The sequence below is a fragment of the Homo sapiens genome, chromosome 5 (genome assembly GCF_000001405.40).
Source record: "Homo sapiens chromosome 5, GRCh38.p14 Primary Assembly".
NCBI lineage: Eukaryota > Metazoa > Chordata > Mammalia > Primates > Hominidae > Homo > Homo sapiens.
Window position 1 is genome coordinate 69476815 of NC_000005.10, and position 24701 is coordinate 69501515.

At 44.9% G+C, this 24701-nt stretch overlaps 1 protein-coding gene, 1 long non-coding RNA gene and 1 pseudogene across 8 annotated transcripts in view, besides 1 other annotated feature; 1 reads left to right on the forward strand and 2 right to left on the reverse strand.

The window, feature by feature from the left end:
• Positions 1–657: 657 nt before the first annotated feature.
• LOC101928924 (uncharacterized) lies at positions 658–8798 on the reverse strand. Its single transcript, NR_134279.1, has 2 exons — positions 8669–8798; positions 658–861 (listed from the first exon to the last, which is right to left on the reverse strand). It is a non-coding gene; the product is annotated as an uncharacterized LOC101928924 (long non-coding RNA).
• On the reverse strand, positions 2183–2451 carry RN7SL616P (RNA, 7SL, cytoplasmic 616, pseudogene; annotated as a pseudogene).
• Positions 15733–24701, forward strand: part of OCLN (occludin) — a 65558-nt gene continuing 56589 nt past the window's right edge. For 3 of the 7 annotated variants that reach the window (NM_001205254.2, NM_001438048.1, NM_001205255.2), the window contains exon 1: positions 15976–16086. The gene's annotated coding sequence lies outside the window, so the exon portion shown is untranslated. Of the gene's footprint in view, positions 15897–15975; positions 16087–18211; positions 18602–24701 lie in introns of those variants that run through there. The other 4 variants (NM_002538.4, NM_001410743.1, NM_001438604.1 and 1 more) reach the window with 3 other exon arrangements.
• Positions 22968–23517: an enhancer, noted in NCBI's record as "H3K27ac-H3K4me1 hESC enhancer chr5:68795609-68796158 (GRCh37/hg19 assembly coordinates)". NCBI's record gives its function as "activates a minimal SCP1, AML or CMV promoter by ChIP-STARR-seq in naive H9 embryonic stem cells {active_cell/tissue: H9 hESC(naive)}" and the evidence as "EXISTENCE:reporter gene assay evidence [ECO:0000049][PMID:30033119]".

The following is a 24701-nucleotide window of genomic DNA, read 5'->3' on the forward strand; positions in this document are numbered from 1 at the left end:
AAGTACAAAAAAATTAGCCGGGCATGGCCTGTAATCCCAGCTACTCGGGAGGCTGAGGCAGAAGAATTGCTTGAACCCGGGAGGCGGAGGTTGCAATGAACCAAGATTGCGCCACTCTACTCCAGCCTGGGCCACAGAGCGGGACTTCTGTCTTTAAAAATAATAATAATAATAATAACAATTTAAATATTTTGACCCCCTGAAGTTAAATCACTTTCTAACTTGTATTACTTCAATCGTGTGTGGGTCCCTCCACCTAGGTTTTATTCTCTCTGAGGGTGCCCCTCCATCTGATTCCTCTGCCCCTCCTTCTGGGACTTTGCACTTCTGTTACTTTAGCTAAGTAAATGAATAGTATTCAATGCTTCAGTACTATCCCTAAGTACTTAAGAGTTGAATTATGCTGCTAATGATATTAATGAGAAACTCACTTGCTTTCTGTGTTTATTTCTTCAAACGTGTTCCTTATAGTAGCAGTTTAACAAGGAAGTTTTCTTTACTCCTTTCCCCTAGACAAAGGGAAAAAATAACAGGAAACCAACCCACAGAAAACAATGAAGATGAATATCAAATATTTGTTCCTTTCTATATAAGAGGAGTTAGGCACAAAATTAGGTCATCATACTAACACTTGAAAGAATCAGAGTTTCTTTGAGTTTTAAGAATTTCCAGGAGAGAAATTTGGCTGTTTTTATTGAAGTGGAGTTGAAACATAGCTGCTTAACAGAAATTAGTAGATATTATTCCAAATATCCACAAGCGTCATCTAGAAGCTGCTTTCAAACTTATGATCCAGGAACTTGGTCTGATGCTGCAGGCAGTTAAGTTGCTTTCTTGTTGTGCTTACATAGACATTGTACACTGTAAAAAAATAAATAGAAGATGCCACTTATTAAGTACCGTCTATGTGTCACAAACACAGATGTTTTATACAGTTGTCACTGCAATATCTTAAATATTATCTTCATTTCATAGACAGGGAAACTAAGTTTCATAGATGTTTAAAACGTGCCCCAGGCCCGGTGCAGTGGCTCATGTCTTAATCCCAGCACTTTGGGAGGCTGAGGCAGGCAGATCATGAGGTCAGGAGTTCGAGACCAGCCTGGCCAACATGGTGAAACCCTGTCTCCACTAAAAATACAAAAATTAGACAGGCGTAGGGGCACATGCCTGTAATGCCAGCTACTCAGGAGGCTGAGGCAGGACAATCACTTGAACCTGGGAGGCGGCGGTTGCAGTAAGCCGAGACTGCGCCAGTGCACTCCAGCCTGGGCGACAGAGCAAGACTCCATCTCAAACTGGGAAAAAAAAAATAAAGTGCCCCAAAGTATACAGCTAGCAAAAAATCAGGATTCAAAAACCCATGTCTTTCTGACCCCCACACCCATGCCATCATAGACTTATTTATTTAGGTACCTGCCTCCTATGCCGAACTGTGAGGTCCTTATGTCCACATCACTTACCCTAGTGCTTGGTGCATGAGTATCGAATACTATTGAATACCTTCCAGCTTCCCTTACCCCTTTCATCTTACCTCACTAAATCCTTTTTTTTTTTTTGAGACAGAGTCTCACTCTTATCGCCCAGGCTGAAGTGCAGTGGTGCAATCTTGGCTCACTACAACCTCTGCTACCTGGGTTCAAGCAGTTCTTCTGCCTCAGCCTTCCAAATAACTGAGATTACAGGCGCCTGCCACCACGCCTGGCTAATTTTGTAGTTTTAGTAGAGATGAGGCTTCACCATCTTGGCCAGGCTGGTCTTGAACTCCTGACCTCGTGATCCACCCGCCTTGGCCTCCCAAAGTGCTGGGATTACAGACGTAAGCCACCTTGCCCAGCTACCTCACTAAATCTTACCTCACCAAATTTTATGTTTGTATTCACTCTGTACTTCCATTTATGTGAGACAATACATTGCCTTATTATTTAAACTACTTTAAACTTGTTTTTTGTAGCATTGAGCTGAAATCATCCTGATATAGGAAGCATAGGCAGCTACTAAATATCCATCGAATAATATTTATTTTGTGCCAGGAATAAGGCCATTTTACATACAACCCTTGCAAGGTGGGTATTACCATCACTTCCATTTAATTTTCATTTAAAAACTTTTTTATTGGGGGTCTCATTATATTGCTCAGGCTGGAGTGCAGTGGCTATTCACAGGCACTATACCACTACTGATGATTGGCACAGGACATACCACTACTGATGACTGGCACAGGATATACCACTACTGATTAGCATGGGAGTTTTCAGCTGGTCCGTTTCCAACCTGGGCCAGTTCACCCCTCCTTAGGCAACCTAGTGGTCCCCACTCCCAGAACATCACCATATTGATGCAGAACTTAGTGAGGACACCCAATCAGCCTAGGCTCAAGCGATCCTCCTGCCTCACTCAGCCTTCCTAGTAGATGGGACTACCGGTACCCCCACATAGGCACCACTGGGCCTGGCATCACCTCCACTTTATAAATAAGGAAATTAAGCCTCAGAAGTTTAAGTTATTTATTTAAAGTGTCATAGAGCTGGTAAATACTGAATTTGGGAATCAAAGTAGAATCTTTTGATACCCTGGCTCCCTTACCCACTATACTGATGAAGGGAAGAAGGTGAAGGTGCTCACTCTGTGCTGTGATGCTTTTTTTTTTTTTTTTTTTTTTTTGAGGCAGGGTCTCACTCTGTTGCCCAGGCTCTGGAGTGCAGTGGCACCATCATGGCTTACCACAGCCTTGACCTCCCCAGGCTCAGGTTATCCTCCCACCTCAGCAGCCCTCTTGAGTAGCTGGGACCACAGGCACCCACCACCATGCCTGGCTAATTTTTTTGTAGAGACCGGGTTTTGCCACATTGCCCGGGTTGGTCTCCAACTCCTGGACTCAAGCAGTCTGCCCACTTTGGCCTCCCAAAGAGAAATTAAAGGAGTTTTTTTTTGTTTTTTTATGTGTTTTGTTGTTGTTGTTGTTGTTTTGAGAAGGAGTCTTGCTCTGTCACCCAGGCTGGAGTGCAGTGGCGTGATCTCGGCTCACTGTGACCTCTGCCTCCTGGGTTCAAGTGATTCTCCTGCCTCAGCCTCCCTAGTAGCTGGGACTATAGGTGCATGCCACCACGCCCAGCTAATTTTTTGTATTTTTAGTAGAGATGGGGTTTCACCATGTTAGCCAGGATGGTCTCGATCTCCTGACCTCCTGATCTGCCCACCTCGGTCTCCCAAAGTGCTGGGATTACAGGCATAAGCCACCAGGCCTGGCCCAGTTTTTTTGTTTGTTTGTTTGTTTTTGAGATGGAGTCTTGCTCTGTTGCCCAGGCTGGAGTGCAATGGCGTGATATCGGGTTCACTGCAACATCCGCCTCCTGGGTCTGAGCCATTCTCCTGCCTCACAGCCTCCTGAGTAGCTGGGATAACAGACGTGTGCCACCACACCAGACTAGTTTTTGTATTTTTAGTAGAGACGGGGTTTTACTGTGTTGGCCAGGCTGGTCTCAAACTCCTGACCTCAGGTGATCTGCCTGCCTCGGCCTCCCAAAATGCTGGGATTACAGGTGTGAACCACCGCGCCCGGCCTTAAGGAGCTTTTAAAAAATAATAATAAATGAAAGAGATAGTATCTCAGCTCAGTCTTGAAGCACTGGCAATATTTTAGAATATGAACCTCCAGATGCAAAGTTGGGAAGAGAATGTTCCAGGTAGAGGAATTAGTGTGCTCAAAAGGCAAGTCACAGAGACTAGAGTGGGAGGGACAGATGGGCAGCCAGGTGAGCAGTTCCACTTAGAACAGAGAGTGTGCCGGGTGCGGTGGCTCACGCCTGTAATCCCAGCACTTTGGGAGGCCGAGGCGGGCGGAGCACCTGAGGTCAGGAGTTCGGGACCAGCCTGGCCAACATGGTGAAATCCCGTCTCTACTAAAAGTACAAAAATTAGCTGGGCGTAGTGGTGGGCGCCTGTAATTCCAGTTACTCCAGAGGCTGAGGCAGGAGAATTGTTTGAACCCGGGAGGCGGAGGTTGCAGTGAGCCGAGATCGCGCCTGGGTGACAGAGCGACTCCATCTCAAAAAAAAAAAAAAAAAAAAAAAGAAGAGAGAGTGGCCTTATCTCTGCCACTCATCTGCCACTTATGTGTCCTTTTATTTTATTTATTTATTTTTTTTAGATGGAGTTTCGCTCTGTCACCCAGGCTGGAGGGCAGTGGCATGATCTCGGCTCACTGCAAGCTCCACCTCCCAGGTTCACACCATTCTCCTGCCTCAGCGTCCCGAGGAGCTGGGACTACAGGCGCTTGCCACCATGCCCGGCTAATTTTTTTGTATTTTTAGTAGAGACGGGGTTTCACCGTGTTAGCCAGGATGGTCTTGATCTCATGACCTCGAGATCTCTCCGCCTTGGCATCCCAAAGTGCTGAGATTACCAGGCGTGAGCCACCACACCCGGCCTTTTCATTTTATTTTTAATTTTTATGAGTGTATGCCTCATCTTCTAGACGAGTGGTCCCCAACCTTTTTGGCCTAGGAATCGGTTTCGTGGAAGATAATTCTTCCATGGATCAGGGCAGAGGGGGATGGTTTCAGGATGATTCCAGTGCATTACATTTATTGTGCACTTTATTCGTATTATTATTACATTTTTATATTTAGTGAAATAATTATTTAATTCACGATAATATAGAATCAGTGAGAGCCCTGAGCTTATTTTCCTACAACTAGATGGTCCCAAATGGGGGTGATGGGAGAAAGTGACATATCATCAGGCATTAGATTATCAGAAGAAGCTGCAACCTAGATCCTTTGCATCCCCAGTTCACCATAGGGTTCATGATTCTATGAGAATCTAATGCTGCTGCTGATCTCTAACACACTCGCCAGCCACTTACATCCTGCTGTATAGCCCGGTTCCTGAATTAGCTATTTCCACTGTGCCAGTCCATGGCAGGAGGTGAGAGGCTCGATTCCTAAGAGGCCATGGTCCGTGGCCTGGGAGTTGGGGACCCCTGTCCTAGACTATGTGAAGGAAGAGTGCTGTACAAAAACATATGCTTTAAGCCCGTTGTGATGGCTCACACCTGTAATCCCAGTGCTTTGGGAGACTGAGGAGAGAGGACTGCTTGAGCCCAGGAGTTTGAGACCAGCCTGGGCAACTTAGGGAGACCTCATCTCTACAAAACATTTTAAAACTTAGCTGGACATGGTGAGATGGGAGGATTGCTTGAGCTTAGGATTTCAAGGTTGCAGTGAGCTATGATTGCGGCACTGCGCTCCAGCCTGGGCAACTGAGCAAGACTCTGTCTTAAAAAACAAAAAAACAAAAAGTATGCTTTGATTTCTTCCTGTATCATCTACTGTCCTTAGTAAATAAAAAAGTAACACATCTATTATGGAGGGGAGGGCATTGGTTGACTCATTAAAGGCAAAATAGAAAGAACATATATCACAAGAAGGAAAATTATGTCATGAAAAGTCAATATTTTAATGATTTAGAGTCTGTTCCAACTTCTTTTACTCACACTTACAATTTTTTTTTTGAGACAGTCTCACTCTGTTGCCCAGGCTGGAGTGCAGGGGTGCGATCTCGGCTCACTGCAGCCTCCGCCTCCTGGGCTCAAGCGATTCTCCTGCCTCAGCCTCCTGAGTAGCTGGGACTACAGGCACGCGCCACCACGCCTGGCTAATTTTTGTATTTTTAGTAGAGACGGGGTTTCACCATGTTAGCCAGGATGGTCTCAATCTCCTGACCTCGTGATCCACCTGCCTCGGCCTCCCAAAGTGCTGGGATTACAGGCGTGAGCCACCATGCCCGGCCTACACTTAAAAATTTTTAAAAATTCCCCTGATAGTATTAAATAGTATTGATGTTAATAGTTGATAGTATTGGAAAATAACCATAATGCAACAACCAATGCAATGATGGATCAGCAATGGACACTGAAAGCTTTCATTGGATGAAAGGTTGTTGGGGAATAAGAGAGTCACACAGAATCAAAGCACGGCTCCATGGAATACTTACAAATTACAAAGAGAAAAGAGAGATCTGGAGAGTACACCCTGAACCAAGCATTCAAACTTATCATCACCCATCCTGGGACAATTTGATAGTGATAGCCTCCTGATGTAATGCTCTATGAGGTCCACAACATCACCTGTGTAGTATTTTTGCCAAAATGTTTCCTTTAAATCTAATAATGAGGAAGGAAAATACAAATCCTGGTTGTGAGACATGCAACAGGACAACTGGACCAGATTCTTTAAAAATGGCAGTGTCATGAAAGACAAAAATGGCAATGGAACTGTTCAAGATTTAAGGAGACTTACATTTTGGGAGGTTGAGGTGGGCAGATCACTTGACGTCAGGAGTTTGGGACTAGCCATGAGGTCAGGCCAACATGGTAAAACCCTGTCTCTACTAAAAATACAAAAATTAGCCGGACCTGGTGGCAGGTGCCTGTAGTCCCAGCTCCTCAGGGGGCTGAGGTGCAAGAATTGCTTGAACCGGGGAGACAGAGGTTGCAGTGAGCTGAGATTGTGCCACTGCATCCCAGCCTGGGCGACAGAGCAAGACCCAGTCTCAAAAAAAGAAAAAACAAAGGCATGATGGTGAGATGTGAGGATGATCCTTGATTGGTTCCTGGATTTTAAAAAAGAACACATATATATATGTATAGAAGATATAGAAGATATTTTTGGAACAATTAGAACAATGTAAATATAATCTATATTAATGTTTGCTTGGAGATGTGTTCATGATATGGTAGTTGTACAGAAGTATGTCTTGATTCTTAGGAGATACATGCTGAAGTATTTAGGGTAAGGTATTATTATACCTAAAAGTTAATTTTAGAAAGCTGAACAAAAAAGTATAAATGTTAGAGTATAAATGGTTGGGCAAAAAAAGTATACCATGGGCCAGGAGCGGTGGCTCACGCCTGTAATCCCAGCACTTTGTGAGGCCGAGGTGGGTAGATTGCTTGAGCCCAGGAGTTCAAGACCAGCTTGGGCAACATGGCAAAACCCTGTCTCTACCAAAAATACAAAAATTAGCCAATATCATAACCCGGTCTCAAAATAAATAATAAAAATGTAAAAAATAAAACATACTATGTATACTTTTTATGTATATGTGTGAGAGAAAAAACAAATGTGGGCAGTGTTAACGATTGGTGAATTTAGGTGAAGGATATAATTCATTGTACTATTTCTCAACTTTTGTTTGTTTGTTTGTTTCTTTTTGAGACATTGTCTTGCTCTGTTGCCCAGGCAGGAGTGCAGTGGCACAATTGCAGCTCACTGCTGCCTCTGTCTCGGGCGATCAAGCGATCCTCCCACCTCAGTTTTTGAGTAGCTGGGACTATAGGGATGTGACACCAGGCCCAGCTAATTTTTAAACTTCTTGTAGAGACGGGGTCTCCCTATATTGCCCAGGCTGATCTCAAATTTCTTGGCTCAAGCAATCTTCCCGTCTCGGCCTCCCAAAGTGTTGGGATTACAGGTGTGAGCCACCATGCCCAGTCAACATTTCTATGGGTTTGAAATTTTCAACACAGTATAAGTTAGGGAAAAAATTAAAATATGGCCAGGCATGATGGCTCATGCCTGTAATCCCAGCACTTTGGGAGGCTGAGGCAGGTAGGTCATTTGAGGTCAGGAGTTTGAGACCAGCCTGGCCAACATGGTGAAACCCCATCTCTACTAAAAATACAAAAAATTAGCCAGGTGTGGTGGCTGGCATTTGTAATCCCAGCTACTAGGGAGGCTGAGGCAGGAGAATCGCTTGAACCTGGGAGGTGGAGGTTGCAGTGAGCCGAGATTGTGCCACTGCACTCCAGTCTGGGCAACAGAGTGAGACCTTGTCTCAAAAATAAATAAATAAAATAAAATAAAATGTTTTTTTTCCTAATTGTTGGAAATAATAGATGCCTATTCATTGAGAAATTTTAGAAAATACAGAAAAAGCGTTTTAAAACATCATGCGATTATGGTAGAGCTTCTCCTACCATGTCTCATTCCACCCCTGGCACTGTCACCAGACCTCTCAGGCACAAAGGCCAATCTTTCTAATTAAGATACATGTAGGAAGATGAATAGGAGTCGTCTGCATTTCTCCAGATCCTATCAACTGGGTTTCAGATCACCCAGACTCTCTTTCTCAAGTTTAGTCCTTTCTATTCAGAAGCCACAAACTTTAAAGATAAAATGCTCAAGCATTACAAAACATTATTCTAAAAACAGGAAAATACTTAGGTTAACATGCAGAATTTCACAACATTCCAAACATAATTCATCACCCTTCAAAGCCTTCCTGTTGCAGTTAGAAGAAAACAGACAGTTGGCTGGGTGCGGTGGCTCATGCCTATAATCCCAGCACTTTGGGATGCGGAGGTGGGAGAATTGCTCGAGCCCAAGAGTTCAAGACCAGCCTGGGCAACAAAGTGAGACCCGTCTCTACAAAATAAATAAATAAATAAAATAAAAAGTTTGCCGGATGCGGTGGCGTGCACCTGTAGTCCCAGCTACTCAGGAGGCTGAGCAGAGGGGATCACTTGAGCCCAGGAGATTGAGGCTGCAGTGAGCCATGACTGTGCCACTGTACCGCAGCCCAGGGGAAAGTGAGACCCTGCCTCAAAACAAAGAGAAAGAAAAAGAAACCCAGACACTTTATGGCACAGCATCCAAGATCTGACCTCTGCCTTCCTTGCGTTTCATCTCCCCCATGCTCCCCTTCCTCTTCCTTCCTTTGCTTTGAATGTCCAAAGTGGTCCTAGATTCTAGCCCTAGAATGTTCTTGTCACAGATCTTTGCATGGCTGGTTCCTTCTCACTAAAAGTCTTGGCTCAAATGTCACCTCTTCAGAGCAGCCACCTGTGACCACTCTACAAGGCAGCTCTTCCTCCACCTGCCTCTCCTAGCCTTCTCTGTCCCCTTAGCTGGTTTAGTTTCTCCAAGTCATTTATCATTATCTTGTTTATTTTCAGTTTCATCATCTTTGTTGTATTTCCTCTCCTAACTATTTCCTCCCTAAACTTCCATAAAGGACCTTGTCTGTCTTGAGGCCACTGTTATTTCCAGGGCTTAGAACAGGGTCTGGTATACAGCAGGTACTGAGGTAAATATTTCTTGACTGAATAAATATTCCTTTTCACATACAATTCTCATATGTCCCACTTACGCTGTACCGTGTCAGCCAACAACAACATTTCAGGAACTGTAGTGAGTTTTTGCTTGTAGGCTCCTTGAGTTTATCCTAAAGAAACTCCAAGTAAAATCAGAAAAGCTGCCATATGGGGCCAGGTGCAGTGGCTCACGCCTGTAATCCCAGCACTTTGGGAGGCTGAGGAGGGCAGATCACTTGAGGTCAGGAGTTCAAGACCAACCTGGGTAACATGGTGAAACCCCATCTCTACTAAAAATACAACAATTAGCCAGGCGTGGTGGTGCGCGTCTGTAATCCCAGCTACTTGGGAGGCTGAGGTGGGAGAATCGCTTGAACCCAGCAGGTGGAGGTTGCAGTGAGCCGAAACTGTGCCACTGCACTCCAGCCTGGGCGACAGAGTGAGACTCCGACACTCTGTCTCAAACAAAAACAAAACAAAAACAAAAAAACAAGAAAAGCTGCTATTTGGAAACCCCTGTATCGAATAAAAGGAGTCCCGTACCTCAAAACCAAAGAATAACAAGAGAAATTTGTGATCTGCTTAAAGTGTATTGGTTTCACACTGACCCAGTTCAAGAGATTTTTCTAGGGTTAGGATTCCTTATGCTAAATTACGAGATAATTATTATTATCTTTTTCAGTTTGGGGACACAGGAGGTAAAGAGCCCCATGAAGTTAAAAGTAGGTAAGCGAAGACAATATTTGGTTAATGTTTACTTTTTCCTCTTTCCTTTTTTGAGCTTAAAAGATTCAGGAAGGCTAGTTCCTGAAAAAGCCTGCAAGGCCAGTTTTCCACTGCAATAGATGACTGATACAATTAAAAAAAAGCAGTCCCAAATCTCTTTCTCTGTATTATCCTTATAATTGTGCCAATATTCTGTCCCACACCAAACCCATTTACTCTCTCTTTAGATGCTGATCTCAACTTACTCTGATCCTATGAATGTATTTTCTGCTGGTATTTGAAAAATGTTATTCACAAAACAAAAATCCTAGATGTGGATCTCCAACTATTTTCTAAGACTGTCTCTAAACCCTATTCTTAGCAAATTTTGGCCGGGTGTGGTGGCTAACACCCGTAATCCCAGCACTTTGGGAGGCCGAGATGGGAGGACTGCTTGAGCCCAAGAATTTGAGACCAGCCTGGGCAACATTGAGAGACCTCATTTCTGTTTATTTATTTGTATTTATATTTATATATTTTTTAAGACAGAGTCTCGCTCTGTCACCCAGGCTGGAGTGCAGTGGCGCTATCTCGACTCACTGCAGTTTCCACCTCCTGGTTTCAAGCGATTCTCCTGCCCTAGCCTCCGAAGTAACTGGGATTACAGGTGCTTCCACCACGCTGGGCTAATGTTTTTTGTATTTTTAGTAGAGACGGGGTTTCACCATGTTGGCCAAGCTGGTCTGGAACTCCTGACCTCAAGTGATCCACCCGCCTCCGCCTCCCAAAGTGCTGGGATTACAGGCGTGAGCCACTGCACCCGGTCTGATCTCATCTTTATTTAAAAACAAAACAAAACAAAAATCAGCCAGTTGTGGGTGCGTGCCTGTAGTCTCAGCTACCCAGGAGGCTGAGGTGGGAAGATCGCTTGAGCCCAGGAGATAGAGGCTGCAGTGAGCCATGATCATGCTACTACACTCCAGCCTGGGTGACAGAGGTGACTCAAAATAATTTTTTTAAATTATGAAATACAAAATTCCTACAAAAATGTATATAAAACATATGCACAGCTTGATAAATTGTTGTAAGGCTAACAGCCGTGTAACTTGGACTCGGGAAGAAACAGAATATTGCCTATATTGCCTATAGACAAAAAGTAGTCCTAAAATATAGTAAAACTGTTCAGAACATTGGTTCAGGAATCAGATGACCTGTATTTGAATCCTGACTCTACAACTTAGTAGACAACTTGAGTAAATGATCAATACTTTCTGAGCTTTAGTTTTCCTATGTGTAAAATGGGGAAAATAATAGTACATCATAAAGTTCTTGTAAAGACCAAAAAAATAAAAATAAAAACCCAGCCGGGGCCGGGCGTGGTGGCTCACGCCTGTAATCCCAGCACTTTGGGAGTCTGAGGCAGGCAGATCACCTGAGGTCAGGAGTTTGAGACCAGCCTGACCAACATGGAGAAAGCCCGTCTCTACTGAAAATACAAAATTAGCTGGGCATGGTGGCTCATGCTTGTAATCCCACTTACTCGGGAAGCTGAGGCAGGAGAATCGCTCGAACCTGGGAGGTGGGGGTTGCAGTGAGCCAAGATCGCGCCATTGCACTCCAGCCTGGGCAACAAGAGTGAAACTCCATCTCAAAAACAAACAAACAAACAAACAACCCAGCCGGGCACGGTGGCTCAAGCCTGTAATCCCAGCATTTTGGAGGCTGAGGCGGGTGAATTGCTTGAGGTCAGGAGTTTGAGACCAGCCTGACCAACACAGTGAAACCCCGTGTCTACTAAAAATGCAAAAATTAACTGGGCGTGGTGGCGGGCACCTGTAATCCTAGCTACTCAGGAGGCTGAGGCAGGAGAATCGCTTGAACCTGGGAGGCAGAGGTTGCAGTGAGCTGAGATTGCGCCATTGCACTCCAGCTTGGGCAACGGAGCGAGACTCCGTCTCAAAAAAAAAAAAAAAAAAAAAAAAAAACCCAAAAACCAGAAAAAAATAAAAAAAAACATAAAACTGCCGGGCATGGTGGCTCACCTCTGTAATCCTAGCGCTTTGAGAGGCCAAGGCGTTAGTATCACCTGAGGTCAGGAGTTCGAGACCAGCCTGACCAACAAGGTGAAATCCCATCTCTACTGAAAATACAAAAATTAGCCAGGCGTGGTGGCAGGTGCCTGTAGTCCCAACTATTCAGGAGGCTGACATAGGAGAATCATTTGAACCCAGGAGGCGGAGGTTGCAGAGAGCTGATCACACCATTGCACTCCAGCCTGGGCTACGGAGGAGACTCTGTTTCAAAACAAACAAACAGAAAACCAAAAAAACACTTAGCATAGTACTTAGAACATGTTTTTCCCTGAGTAAATGGTGCTATTATTATTCTTCCACCTGTTGAAGTTCCTGTTCAGGTGCTGAGTCTCTTTGTTTAAATATGGATTCCTCCCAGGAGGATCTTGCTTAACACATAGGAATAGAGAAGATAAAGGTTTACTCATCTAGTGTAATCATCCTTTTAGAAATTGTCTTCCTAGTGGCTTCCCCATAAATTCTTCCATACACCTGTCCAAGGAAACTGTCCTGTGTGGACCAGAAGCCTCCCCCTCCTCATGACTGGGCAGAGAAACTAGAGGCCTTTCAGGCCAGGCCCTCAGCAACTCCAAACTGAGTTGCCTTGGACACATACCAGTCTTTGAATTCATTTACTAAGCAGGCAAGGCAGAGTGGAAACAGTGGAACTATGTTAATCTCCCGTCTTTTCTCCTCTAAACCCTAGTACTAGAGATGTAAGCCTTGAAATGCTACTAAGGAACGTGCGGGTTTCACAATAGCAGGAGGCCATCTGAGAGGAGGACAAGACTCCACAGGCATGTTGGATTTGGGAAGCAGGGCTATAGTCATTCATTCATTCATCCAACACATAGTTATGTAATTCCTATGTGACAGGAACTATTTCAGGCATATAGGATACAGCAATGGCTTGCTCAATTTATTGAGACTTGTTTCGTGGCTCAGCATATAGTCTGTCTTGGTGAATGCTCCACATTCCCACCAACAGACTTATAAAGACAGTATTGTTTATTATCATCTCAAATTTACGGTGGAAAAAAATGAACCTTACATAGTTTAATTTCCTTTAGTCCTACCCAGCTACCAAGTAGCAACACTGGAATTTGAACTGAGATTTCTGACACCATAATCTGAGCTCTTAAGTTTCTCTTTTACACATAGAAAAGGAGAAACAAATTGTCTTTTCATCTTATCCATTTGACTGCAGGTAAAGTCAACAAGTTTCTAATCATGGGGTTCTGAAAATAATATTTACATTGCTCTGAGTCACGGGGATTTTCATCAAATAATATTCAATAGTGGATACTACTCAATACTACTGTGAGTTGCCAAGAAGGAATATTTGGTAAAAAATATAGTAATTAAATTTTGCTATAATTTATGATTATGTAACATGATTAAATTGAGCATGGCATCATTTAACATCCAACAAATTTTGTTTTGGTATTGAAGAATGATGTGTTTAAGTTTTAAGGCTGGATTTTCTTTCTAGACACTTTCAACTATGAAATATACACAATATTGGACAATAGTTAACCGTTCTTTTGATGTTGTTGTTTAGAAAATTAATCTCAAGCGAATAAAATAGAATTCATACAATTAATGAATCCTATTATTCCATATGGATGAACTCAGAACTAACTAGAAAGTAAGTTTCACAGAGATTTTTGAGTTTTGTTCACTCGTGTGTGTACAGATTAGGCACTCAGAAAATAGTTGAAGGAATGAATTGGGAAAGCAAATAGAATATGAAAGCCTTCTACCCAACACAACATGTCTTTGAGTTTAGGTTTAGGGTGGGAATAAGAAAAATAACATGATATGCATAAGTTATCTTAAAATGATAAAAAGTTTAATTTAAAAACCTAATTTACCAAGAGAACCGAAAACATATGTCCACACAAAAACTTGTACACAAATGTTCATAGTAACATTATTCATAACATCCCCAAAGGAGAAACAACCCAAATGTTCATCAACAGATGAATGATTAAACGAAATGTGATACATCGATACAATGGAATATTATTCAGTTATAAAAAGGAATGAAGTACCAATACATACTACATCATGGATGAACCTTTAAAATATTATGCTAAGTGAAAGAAGACAGACACAAAGGGCACATATTGTATTATCCATTCATATAAAATGTCCAGAATAGGCAAATTAATAGAGACAGAAAGTACATTAGTGGTTGCCGAGGGATGAGGGGAGAGGGGAAATGGGGAGTGACTATTAATGGGCATGGGGTTTCTTTTGGGGGCGATTAAAATGGAATTAGATGGTGGTGATGGTTGTACAATCTGGTGAGTATACTAAAACCCACTGAATTGTACGTGCCCTTTAAAAGGGTGAATTTTATGGTATGTGAACTCTCTTTTATAAAGTGGAAAAAAACTCCTAAGATCTCTTCAGAACATGTCAAAATACATTATAAAATAATAGACATGTGTTTACAAATCTGAGAGTATTAGGAAATGTTCCCTTGTTTAATTATAAACCAAATGGAATGTTTGGAGATTTCAGTAATCTGACAGGGAACATTAAGGGGATTAACCTGACTTCCCCAGTGTTAACAATACCAATTTAAACTGCATCATTCAAAAACTACATAGTCATATTAAAGCATTTGTAGCAATGACTTCCACGAAAAAAATACCAATTAAATTAATTACCCATTAAAGCTGCCATCATCTGAAATACCTCATATTTATATAGTGCTTTTACTTCCTCAAGTATGAATTGTGCCTTAAGATCTAATGTATGGGAGAGTCACATCTCTAACCATTTAATTAAAGGTAGAGAAGTGGGTGGGATTGGATAGAAATTTATTAGCAATGCTGACATTCCAGATTGGAACACAAAGACAAGCAGGATGTAAGAAACCTAAAAGTTCGCTTTCAATGCAGATAGTTAAATGCCAAGAACTATAATTGCCACATCCTGGAGTACAATTAAAAAATATGTTGAAAAACAACCAACATACATAAAAATATACACAGTGTTAAGTGCAGACTATGAAATTTCCCTTGGAAACAGAATCCAGATCAAGAAATAGAATACAGCACCCGGAACTAAGGTGCTTTTTCGTTTTCTTAAAAAAAAAAAAAAAGTAAACCAAGTTTATTTTGCTTTTTAAGTAGTGTTGTTCTTAAAGCACTACAGGTTGGTAAACAACGTATAAGGTGCTTTTTCTCAGGCCAAAGAGCCATAATAGTTTAAATTTCCCGGTCCTCAAGAGCGGACCGGGTGGGCAGGAGAGGACCCTGGGGTGGTGATGTGTAAACTGTATTATGCACTTTAGCCTGCTGGATGGCAACTAACACCTACAGTAGTTCACCCTCATTTTAACCCCTCTAAGTAATTGTCTCTTATTCTGAATCTAGAGATTCAGAAACAGCGCCAATGTTTACACACGACTTTTGAAATTTTCCCAGGAGTCTTTCGTTGGAGCAATACATCTAGATGCCTTTTTCCAGCAACAGTTTAATCAAATTCTGGAAGCAGAAAAGTGTCCTGTGAGGACGTGCCTTTCCTATCAAAGTGCTGAGTGCCTGGACCCTCTTTCCGGAGGAAACAGTCCCCTCTGGACCTCGTTCGGCCTCTCTCCATCAGACACCCCAAGGTTCCATCCGAAGCAGGCGGAGCACCGAACGCACCCCGGGGTGGTCAGGGACCCCCATCCGTGCTGCCCCCTAGGAGCCCGCGCCTCTCCTCTGCGCCCCGCCTCTCGGGCCGCAACGTCGCGCGGTTCCTTTAACAGCGCGCTGGCAGGGTGTGGGAAGCAGGACCGCGTCCTCCCGCCCCCTCCCATCCGAGTTTCAGGTGAATTGGTCACCGAGGGAGGAGGCCGACACACCACACCTACACTCCCGCGTCCACCTCTCCCTCCCTGCTTCCTCTGGCGGAGGCGGCAGGAACCGAGAGCCAGGTCCAGAGCGCCGAGGAGCCGGTCTAGGACGCAGCAGGTGGGACTCGCGGCGCTGGCCCGCAGGCTTCCCGCACCCCCTTCCACGTTGGTGCGCATGCCCGGGGGCAGGGCCGGTTGTAGGGAGGAGGGAAAGGAGAGGGAGAAGGGGGAGGAGACGTCCCCAGCCCAGTCCCCGGCTGAGCGCTGGCGGTCGGTGCGGCGTCAGGTGCGCCCGCCAGGTGAGCGCGCTCCCTGGCACCGTTGGCCCCCGGAGGGTCGGGCCCAGTTGCGGCGAGCGGGTGAGTGTTGGGCGCGGCGTCAGGGGCGCACGGGAGCCCGAGGGTCCCCGTGGGGGGACCGCGGCGACTATGTTAGGGGAGGTGCCGGGGGGAGGACGCTCCGCGCTGGTTTCGGTGGCAGTTTCGTCCCCGAGCTGGGACTCGTGGGAACCAGAGAGGCGCGGGTCTGCGGAGAGAGCAGCACCGGCCAACTTGGGAGGCTGCCTCCTGGGGCGAGGGGTGGCTTGGAGCCGCCGATCAAGCTTTATTCCGCGGAAACGCTGAAAGCTAGCAGTGCCTCAGCGGCGCGGGCAACTTTTCACTTTTATGGGGCACGACATTCCTGAACAGCGACGATCCTGCATCCGCTCTGGGGCTGCAGTTTGGGGGGGCGGCCTTCATGGAGAGGGATCCTGCGCCCAGCTCCTTGGGGGTCCTAAGCCTGAGGCTGCAGCGAGGCGGCTGTTCGGCGGCCCGGGCGGCTTAGATCCCGGGGGGAATTTCATTCCTTCCGCTCCCACCCCACCCCTTTGGATATCCCGGGGAGACGGGGGCTGGATTCAATCTGTGAAATATTCCAGGAGTCACGGTGTGGGCCACACTGGCTACTTCGAATCCACTTGTTGCGAGTTGTGTGAACCCGCGTCGATTTAAGCTGGGGGGCGGGGAGTTAATTTCGAGTGAGGCTGGACTTCGAGGGAAGCTGCTCACGCTTCGGATTCTCATCCGTGACCAAAAGGGCTGCCCCCAGGGGGGCGGAACTGCCTCCGGGCGGTGCCTGCCCGGCGAACGTGGGCGCGCGCTGCCTGGGAGCGCCTCGGTGCGCACGGAAGCCGGGACCCGCGCCCAGCCGGGCCACGGAGTTTGGGGACCTCCGGGACTGGGCCGGCCCCGCGCGCCAGCCATGTTGCCTGCGTCGGAGGAAGCGTGCGGGGAGCAGGGGTCGAGGGCCAAGATGGCCTCTGCGCCTAGGGGTTGGGAGCGGCGCCGAGCCCCTCGCGCTCCTCGGGAAGCCACCGGGCCCGAGGGAAAAGCCGCGGCATCCTTAGGCCGGACCCGGGGCTCGCTGGCCACACTGCCCGCTTGGGGAATTACCCTGCTCGAGGAGGAGGCGGCGGCTTTCCAGGCCAGTCAGTGTGTGGCCCTTAGGCAACAGGTGTATTATTGGGATACCTGGAAAAGAGAAACGTTTCCCATGAAGGCACTTATGGTGTTTTTTGGTGATTCTTGGTGTGATAGAAAACTAGGCGTTCCCAAGTGTAACAATAGTAACAGTAGTTCTTTTGCACTGTACATATGAGGTGCTTGTGTGTGTGTGTGTGTGTGTTTTTCCGAGACGGAGTCTGGCTCTGTCCCCCAGTGCAGTGGCATCATCTGGGCTCACTGCAACCTCTGCCTCCCGGGTTCAAGCGATTCTCCTGCTCAGCCTCCCGAATAGCTGGGATTACAGGCACCCACTAGTATGCACAGCTAATTTTTGTATTTTTAGTAGAGACAGGGTTTTGCCATTTGGTCAGGCTGGTCTCGAACTCCTGACCTCAGGTGATTCGCCCGCCTTGGCCTCCCAAAGTGCTGGGATTACAGGCGTAAGCCACCACACCCAGCCTTTATGAATATTTTCTTAGTGGTGCTTTAAAATAGACATCTTAAGTGTGTGTGGGAGGCAGAGATATTTCCTCAAACAAAGCAACACTTTTTTTTTGGTCGTTTTGCAATTTATTTAGTTATTAGGGGCCTCCTTTGTTAGGTGACGGAGCAGAGGATAGGGAGATCGGTAAGACATGATTCTCCACCTTTTGGCAGTTTCCAGGCCATTTCGGGAAATAGTGGGCAGCAGTGCCTCCTGCACGTGAGGCACTGTGGTAAAAGCATTCTGTATTTTCTCATTTAATTATCCCAACAACTCTAAAAGGCAGGCCTTAGTAGAACTCCATTTTAAAAGTGGGCAAATGCCGTGGGGGAAACGTTGCAGGTGGGCTTGCTTGCAAACTGCTTCAGCTAATATGGGAAGGAGTATCAGAAGCAGCGGTCCTTGATATTCCAGAACCAGATTTGGGGAATTTTTCTGGACTTTTCTACCATTGACTAGTAACTGTAGCCTGATACAAGATTTCCCGCATTTTGCTTGATATCAAGGTAAAATTCTTGTTTTCTTCTAAAGGTAGTGTTGGAATTACTACCTTTTCAAAATAGTATATTACTTTTAACCACATAAATGATCTGATGTAATATCTTTCATCTTCCTAGGAACCTCCCAGAAGGAAGTTTTCTTCAGTTGCATTTTAAGGCTTATTTGATTGGAATATTAATGGATCTTTTTCATCAAATTACTATTTATGGAAATAAGAGAGTAAACAGACCATGCAGATTTATGTTAGGCTTTTTGTTTTAACCCCTAGGCTTGCCGCTGTTCCGTAACCCAGTGATTCCAGTCTTGGCTGTGGTATGAATCACTTAGGGATCCTATTAAAACACAGATTCTGATTGGGAGGTCAGGAGTGGGGCCTGGGATTCTGCCTTTCTAACAGGCTCACAGGTGATTCTCAGACTGTTCTGTCTTCTTTTTCTCCCTTTCTCTTAGACTCTACGCACTTAATTACATTTGACAAACTGAAGTTGGAAAAAATAACGTTTATTGAGTGTTGTGTGAAGAACTTCAAGGCATTCACTGCTGGATTGAAATCCCAACTCTAATAATTGACTGTTGGTTTTATTAATTGAGTACTCATTGACAATCACTTTGTGCCAGGGCTAGTTCCAGCGACCAGGGATATAAATGATGGTCAAAATAGACATTTGATGTCTGGGATATGGGCATTCCAGATGCGGTGGAGATGATACCTATATTTTAGGTATGAGGGCAGAGGGGAGTTTGCTCTGAAAAAAAAAACAAGTTTTGTGTGATGGAGTGAGGGACAGGGAGGGCATCTCCCAGAAGGTGACGTCTGAGCTGAGACCTGAACAGCAGGTGTCTGTTGTGTAAAAGATCTGGGCTTTCTAGACAGGAAATTGCAAGATCAATGTCCTTTTTGGATTGACACCTTTATTGTAGACAGCAATTCTCAAAATATGTGATGTGTTTAAAAATCACCTGGAAGATTTATTAAAAATACAATTTCTGACACAGAGTCTATTACAAAATCTGCCTAACTTCAAATTTTTAGACAATTTACTAATGATGTGCCTGTAGTCTAAATCATTTAATATAAGGCACAACTTAAACTTTTTTTTTTTTTTTTGAGACAGAGTCTCGCTGTCTCCCAGGCTGGAGTGCAGTGGCACGATCTTGGCTTACTGCAAGCTCCGCCTCCCGGGTTCACACCATTCTCCTGCCTCGGCCTCCCGAGTAGTTGGGACTACAGGCGCCTGCCACCATGCCCAGCTAATTTTTTGTATTTTTAATAGAGGCGGGGTTTCACTGTGTTAGCGGGGATGGTCTCGATCTCCTGACCTCGTGATCCTCCCGTCTCGGCCCCCCAAAGTGCTGGGATTACAGGCGTGAGCCACCGCGCCCGGCCACAACTTAAACTTTTTAAAGGCAAATTGACAGTTACTGCATGTGCTCTAAAAGGAACAGACTTCTCTTAAATACAATAAAGTTTATTTTTCACTTATTGACAGTTTTCTTTAAAGAATAATTTGAGGCCAAAGCATTTTCAGACTATTTTTTCTTTTTTTATACTTTTTTTTTTTTTTTTTTTTTAAGATAGATAACGGAGTCTTACTCTGTTGCCCAGCCTGATCTTGAAGTTCTGGGCTCAAACAATCCCTCTGCCTTGGCTTCCCAAAGTACTGGGATTACAAGTGTGAGCCACCTTGCCCAGCCTCAGCCTGTTTTTTTCATCTTAGCTTAGTTTTCCATTAAGACAGCTTTTGGTCAGTAAACATTGTCAAGGGGAGAACACTTTATATTTTATCATTAGCCCAAGATGCTGGTTTTCAGATTAACATATTTGACAAGGATCTATCTGCTGCTTCCCTTTTGCCCCCGACTCTAATTTAGCTGTCTGACTTCTGTCCTTGTCACTCTCCTGACATAAGTTCCTGTAGGTGATAAGTGGCCTCTTCATTCTCATTTTTTCCTTCACTCAACACATGTACAGATTGTTAATGTTGCTGTGCTGGGCATTGGTCCTCTTTCACCTTTGGCTGCTGGCCTTAAAGCACAGTCACAGATTCACTTTGAAAGAGACCTTAGAAGTCTTCCAGTCTGGTCTCCAAAAAAATATCAAATAACTTAAGCTTTGCATAAATTGCATGAGCTCAAATTGTTGTTAGTTATTTTCGGAGAGGGTGTGGGGTCAGGGTGAGGGAGAGGCTTCCTAACATTGAGATGAAATCAGCCTGTGGTTTTTGGAATTTTTTTTTTTTAACCATTTCTAGGATAACAAAGACAGCTCTTCATATATTTCAGGGCTGCTAAAGCGATTCTTCTGACGTTAAGTTCTCCAGGCCAAACATTTCCTGTTTTTCCAATCATTTGTCTTAAGACATGGTTTTTCTAGATTTTTTTTTTTTTTTTTTTTTGAGCCAGAGTCTCACTGTGTCGCCAGGCTGGAGTGCGGTGGCACAATCTTGGCTCACTGCAACCTCTGCCTCCTGGGTTCAAGCAATTCTCCTGCCTCAGCCTCCCAAGTAGCTGGGATTACAAGCACACACCACCATGCCCAACTAATTTTTGTATTTTTAGTAGAGACGAGGTTTCACCGTGTTGGCCAAGATGGTCTCGATCTCCTTGTGATCCACCCGCCTCGTCCTCCCAAAGTGCTGGGATTACAGGCGTGAGCCACGGTGCCTGGCCAGCTTTTCTAGATCTTTAATGATCTTAGTCACCCTCCTGGAGAGGCACATAGTTTAGAATGTGATGTACAAATCAGGTTTTGTTTGTTCTTTTTAATAGCATATTATTCCTAGATATGAGCACTATTTCTGTGAATAAAGTTTGGGATAGGTTGTTAGCTTTTGTTGAAATTCTTACCAAAGAAATGCACCTTTAAAAATGAACCACTTTGGGAGGCCGAGGCGGGCGGATCACGAGGTCAGGAGATCGAGACCATCCCGGCTAAAACGGTGAAACCCCGTCTCTACTAAAAATACAAAAAATTAGCCGGGCGTAGTGGCGGGCGCCTGTAGTCCCAGCTACTTGGGAGGCTGAGGCAGGAGAATGGCGTGAACCCGGGAGGCGGAGCTTGCAGTGAGCCGAGATCCCGCCACTGCACTCCAGCCTGGGCGACAGAGCGAGACTCCGTCTCAAAAAAAAAAAAGAACGATTATTAAATTAGTTCTCCTCTATACTGTACTATGGAATTGACTTTTTAAAAATTCAGTTTATGGCTGGGCATGGTGGCTCATGCCTGTAATCCCAGCACTTTGGGAGGCTGAGGTGGGTGGATCACCTGAGGTCAGGAGTTTGACACCAGCTTGGTTAACATGGTGAAACCCCGTTTCTACTAAAAATGCAAAAATTAGCCTGGCCTGGTGGCATGTGCCAGTAATCTCAGCTACTCAGGAGGCTGAGGTGGGAGAATTGCTTGAACCTGGGAGGTGGAGGTTGCATTGAGCCGAGATCACGCCATTGCATTCCAGGCTGGATGACAGAGCAAGACTCCTGTCTCAAAAAAAAAAAAAATCAGTTTACATTTTAAAAATGACTCATTTATGCCACCAATATAGTCACCCTTCAGTATCTGTGAGAGGTTGCTTCCAGGACCCCCATGATACTAAAATCTGAGGATGCTGAAGTCCTTGTTATAAAATAGCTTTGTATTTGCATATGGCCTAAATGCTCTTGTATACTTTTTTTTTTAATTGTTTTTTTGAGACAGAATCTCACTCCATCATCTAGGCTGGAGTGCAGTGATGCAATTTTGGCCCACTGCAAACTCTGCCTCCTGGGCTCAAGCGATTCTCCTGCCTCAGCCTCCTGAGTAGCTGGGATTACAGGCACCCGGCACAATCCCAGTTAATTTTTGTATTTTTAGTAGAGACAGGGTTTCACCATGTTGGCCAGGCTGGTCTCGAACTCCTGACCTCAAGTGATCCGCCCGTCTTGGGCTCCCAAAGAGCTGGAATTACAGGTGTGAGCCACTGCACCCAGACCTCTTGTAGACTTTAAATAATCTCTAGTTATAATACCGTATACAATGTAAATACTATGTAGAATTGTGATATTGTAGTTTTAAAAATCTATTTTTTGTTTTATTGTTTATTATTTTTTTAGACAGGGTATTACTGTTACTCAGGCTGGAGTATAGTGGCATGATCACTCCAGCCTCAACTTCCTCTGCTCAAGAGATCCTCCCATCTCAGTCTCTTGAGTAGCTGGAACTTACAGGGATGTGCCACCATGCCTGGCTAATTTTAAGAAAAATTTTTTGTGGAGATGGGGTCTTACTATGTTGCTGTGGTCAGTCTTGGACTCCTGGGTTCAAGTGATCTTCCTGCTTCAGCTTCCTAGAGTGTTGGGATTACAGGTGTGAGCCACTGTACCTGCCCTGTAATTTTTAATTTTTTTTTCCCCTGAATATTTTCTGTCTGAGGTTGGTTGAATCAGAATTTAAAACCCATGGATGTGGAGGGTCAGCTGTATTTGAAAATGGATACAATATACCTAAGTGCCTAAGCACTGAAATTTCTTACTTTCAGGATAACCACCTTATGATGAATGCAGTTGCCCATTTTCTTGAAGACTTTTTCTTGTGGTTTTTTTCTTTCTTTTTTTTTTGAGCCGGAGTCTCGCTCCGTCGCCAGGCTGGAGTGCAGTGGCGTGACCTCAGCTCACTGCAACCTCCTCCTCCTGGATTCAAGCGATTCTCCTGCCTCAGCCTCCTGAGTAGCTGGGGCTACAGGCGCGCGCCACCAAGCCCAGCTAATTTTTGTATTTTTTTAGTAGAGACAGGGTTTCACTATGTTGACCAGGATGGTCTTGATCTCTTGACCTCGTGATCCACCCGCCTCGGCCTCCCAAAGTGCTGGGATCACAGGCGTGAACCACTGCGCCCAGCTCTTTAAGACTTTTTCTTATCCCAGTGCAGAGGTCAGGATTATTCCCGCATTTGAGTGCACTTAGAGGAGATAAGGAATTTGTCTCAGATTGCGAGCCAGTAAATGGGGGCTGTTAAAACCACTAGGTTGTTTCAAACTCATCATTCTGACATTACAGAGATCTTGCTTAGTGTTGATGGCCCTAGCCAATGGGTTAGTTATCCTTTCCAGTGTGTTTGGTCAGCTGCAAATCTGGATAAGCGTGTCTCCTCCACTTTGTCTGTGTTTACCAGTGGAGACCTCCCACCAGGTGGACATAAATGGTTCATTCTTTTGTGCTAATTGGGTGCCGTAATCCAGCCCCTTGGGAATCTGCCCACCCACACAAGGATGTGCTCAAGATTTTCAGGATTCTTTCTCTCTGCATTCCCTGAAGAGGAAATAATAAAGGAGAAAATAAAATCCACCAGTTTGGTAACCTTCCCAGAAAAGGAAATGAAGTTGGTGTGGCATGACTTGTTCTTAACGAGCTTTCTTTTCTTTTTTTTTTTTTTGAGACGGAGTTTTGCTCTTTTTGCCCAGGCTGGAGTGCAATGGCGCAATACTGGCTCACTGCGAACTCCGCCTCCCAGGTTCAAGCAATTCTGCTACCTCAGCCTCCCAAGTAGCTGGGTTTACAGGCATGCACCACCACGCCCCTCTAATTTTTTGTATTTTTAGTAGAGATAGGGTTTCACCACATTGGTCAGCTGGTCTTGAACTCCAGACCTCATGTGATCCACCTGCCTCGGCCTCCCAAAGTGCTGGGATTACAGGCATGAGCCACATGATTTGGTTCACAATTTAAAATCCGTGCTTTTGGGGAGACGTGACAACTCTGAATCCTGGAAATAGCAGTTTGAAAAGGGATCTTGTTTGAATTTTTGACAACTTAAGACTGAGTCTGGATTAATTTAGAGTTTCCAAAACTACCACTGAACCTAGAATTTGGGGATATTTGACATTCAGCTTCAGAACTAGGATCCCACATTTAATAGTGCTTAACTTCAGATTTTCTGTTTTACTTTTTTTTTTTAAAGGAGTCTTGCTCTGTCACCCACGCTGGAGTGCAGTGGCACAATCTTGGCTCACTGCAACCTCCACCTCGGGCTCAAGCGATTCTCATGCCTCAGTTTCTCAAGTAGCTGGGATTACAGGCACGTGCCACCATGCCCAGCTAATTTTTGTATTTTTAGTAGAGACGGGGTTTTGCCATGATGGCCAGGCTGGTCTCGAACTCCTGACCTAGGGTGATCCACCTGTCTCCACCTCCCAAGTGCTGGAATTACAGGTGTGAGCCACCTCACCTGGCCTAAATTCAGTATTCCTTAATGTTCTTTTTCTGAAGACAATCTGGACTTTTGCCTTTTTATAGTACCATAACATTTTCGCCTAAATTGCTCATTTGTATGTGTGTTTCACCATTACTAGAATATAGAGAAATTGGCCAGGTGTATTGGCTCATGCCTGTAATCCCAGTACTTTGGGAGGCCAAGGCAGGTGGATAGCTTGAGCTCAGGGGTTTGAGACCAGCCTGGGCAACATGGTGAAACCTTATCTCTACTAAAAATACAAAAATTAGCCAGGCGTGGTGGCATGTGCCTGTAGTCCAG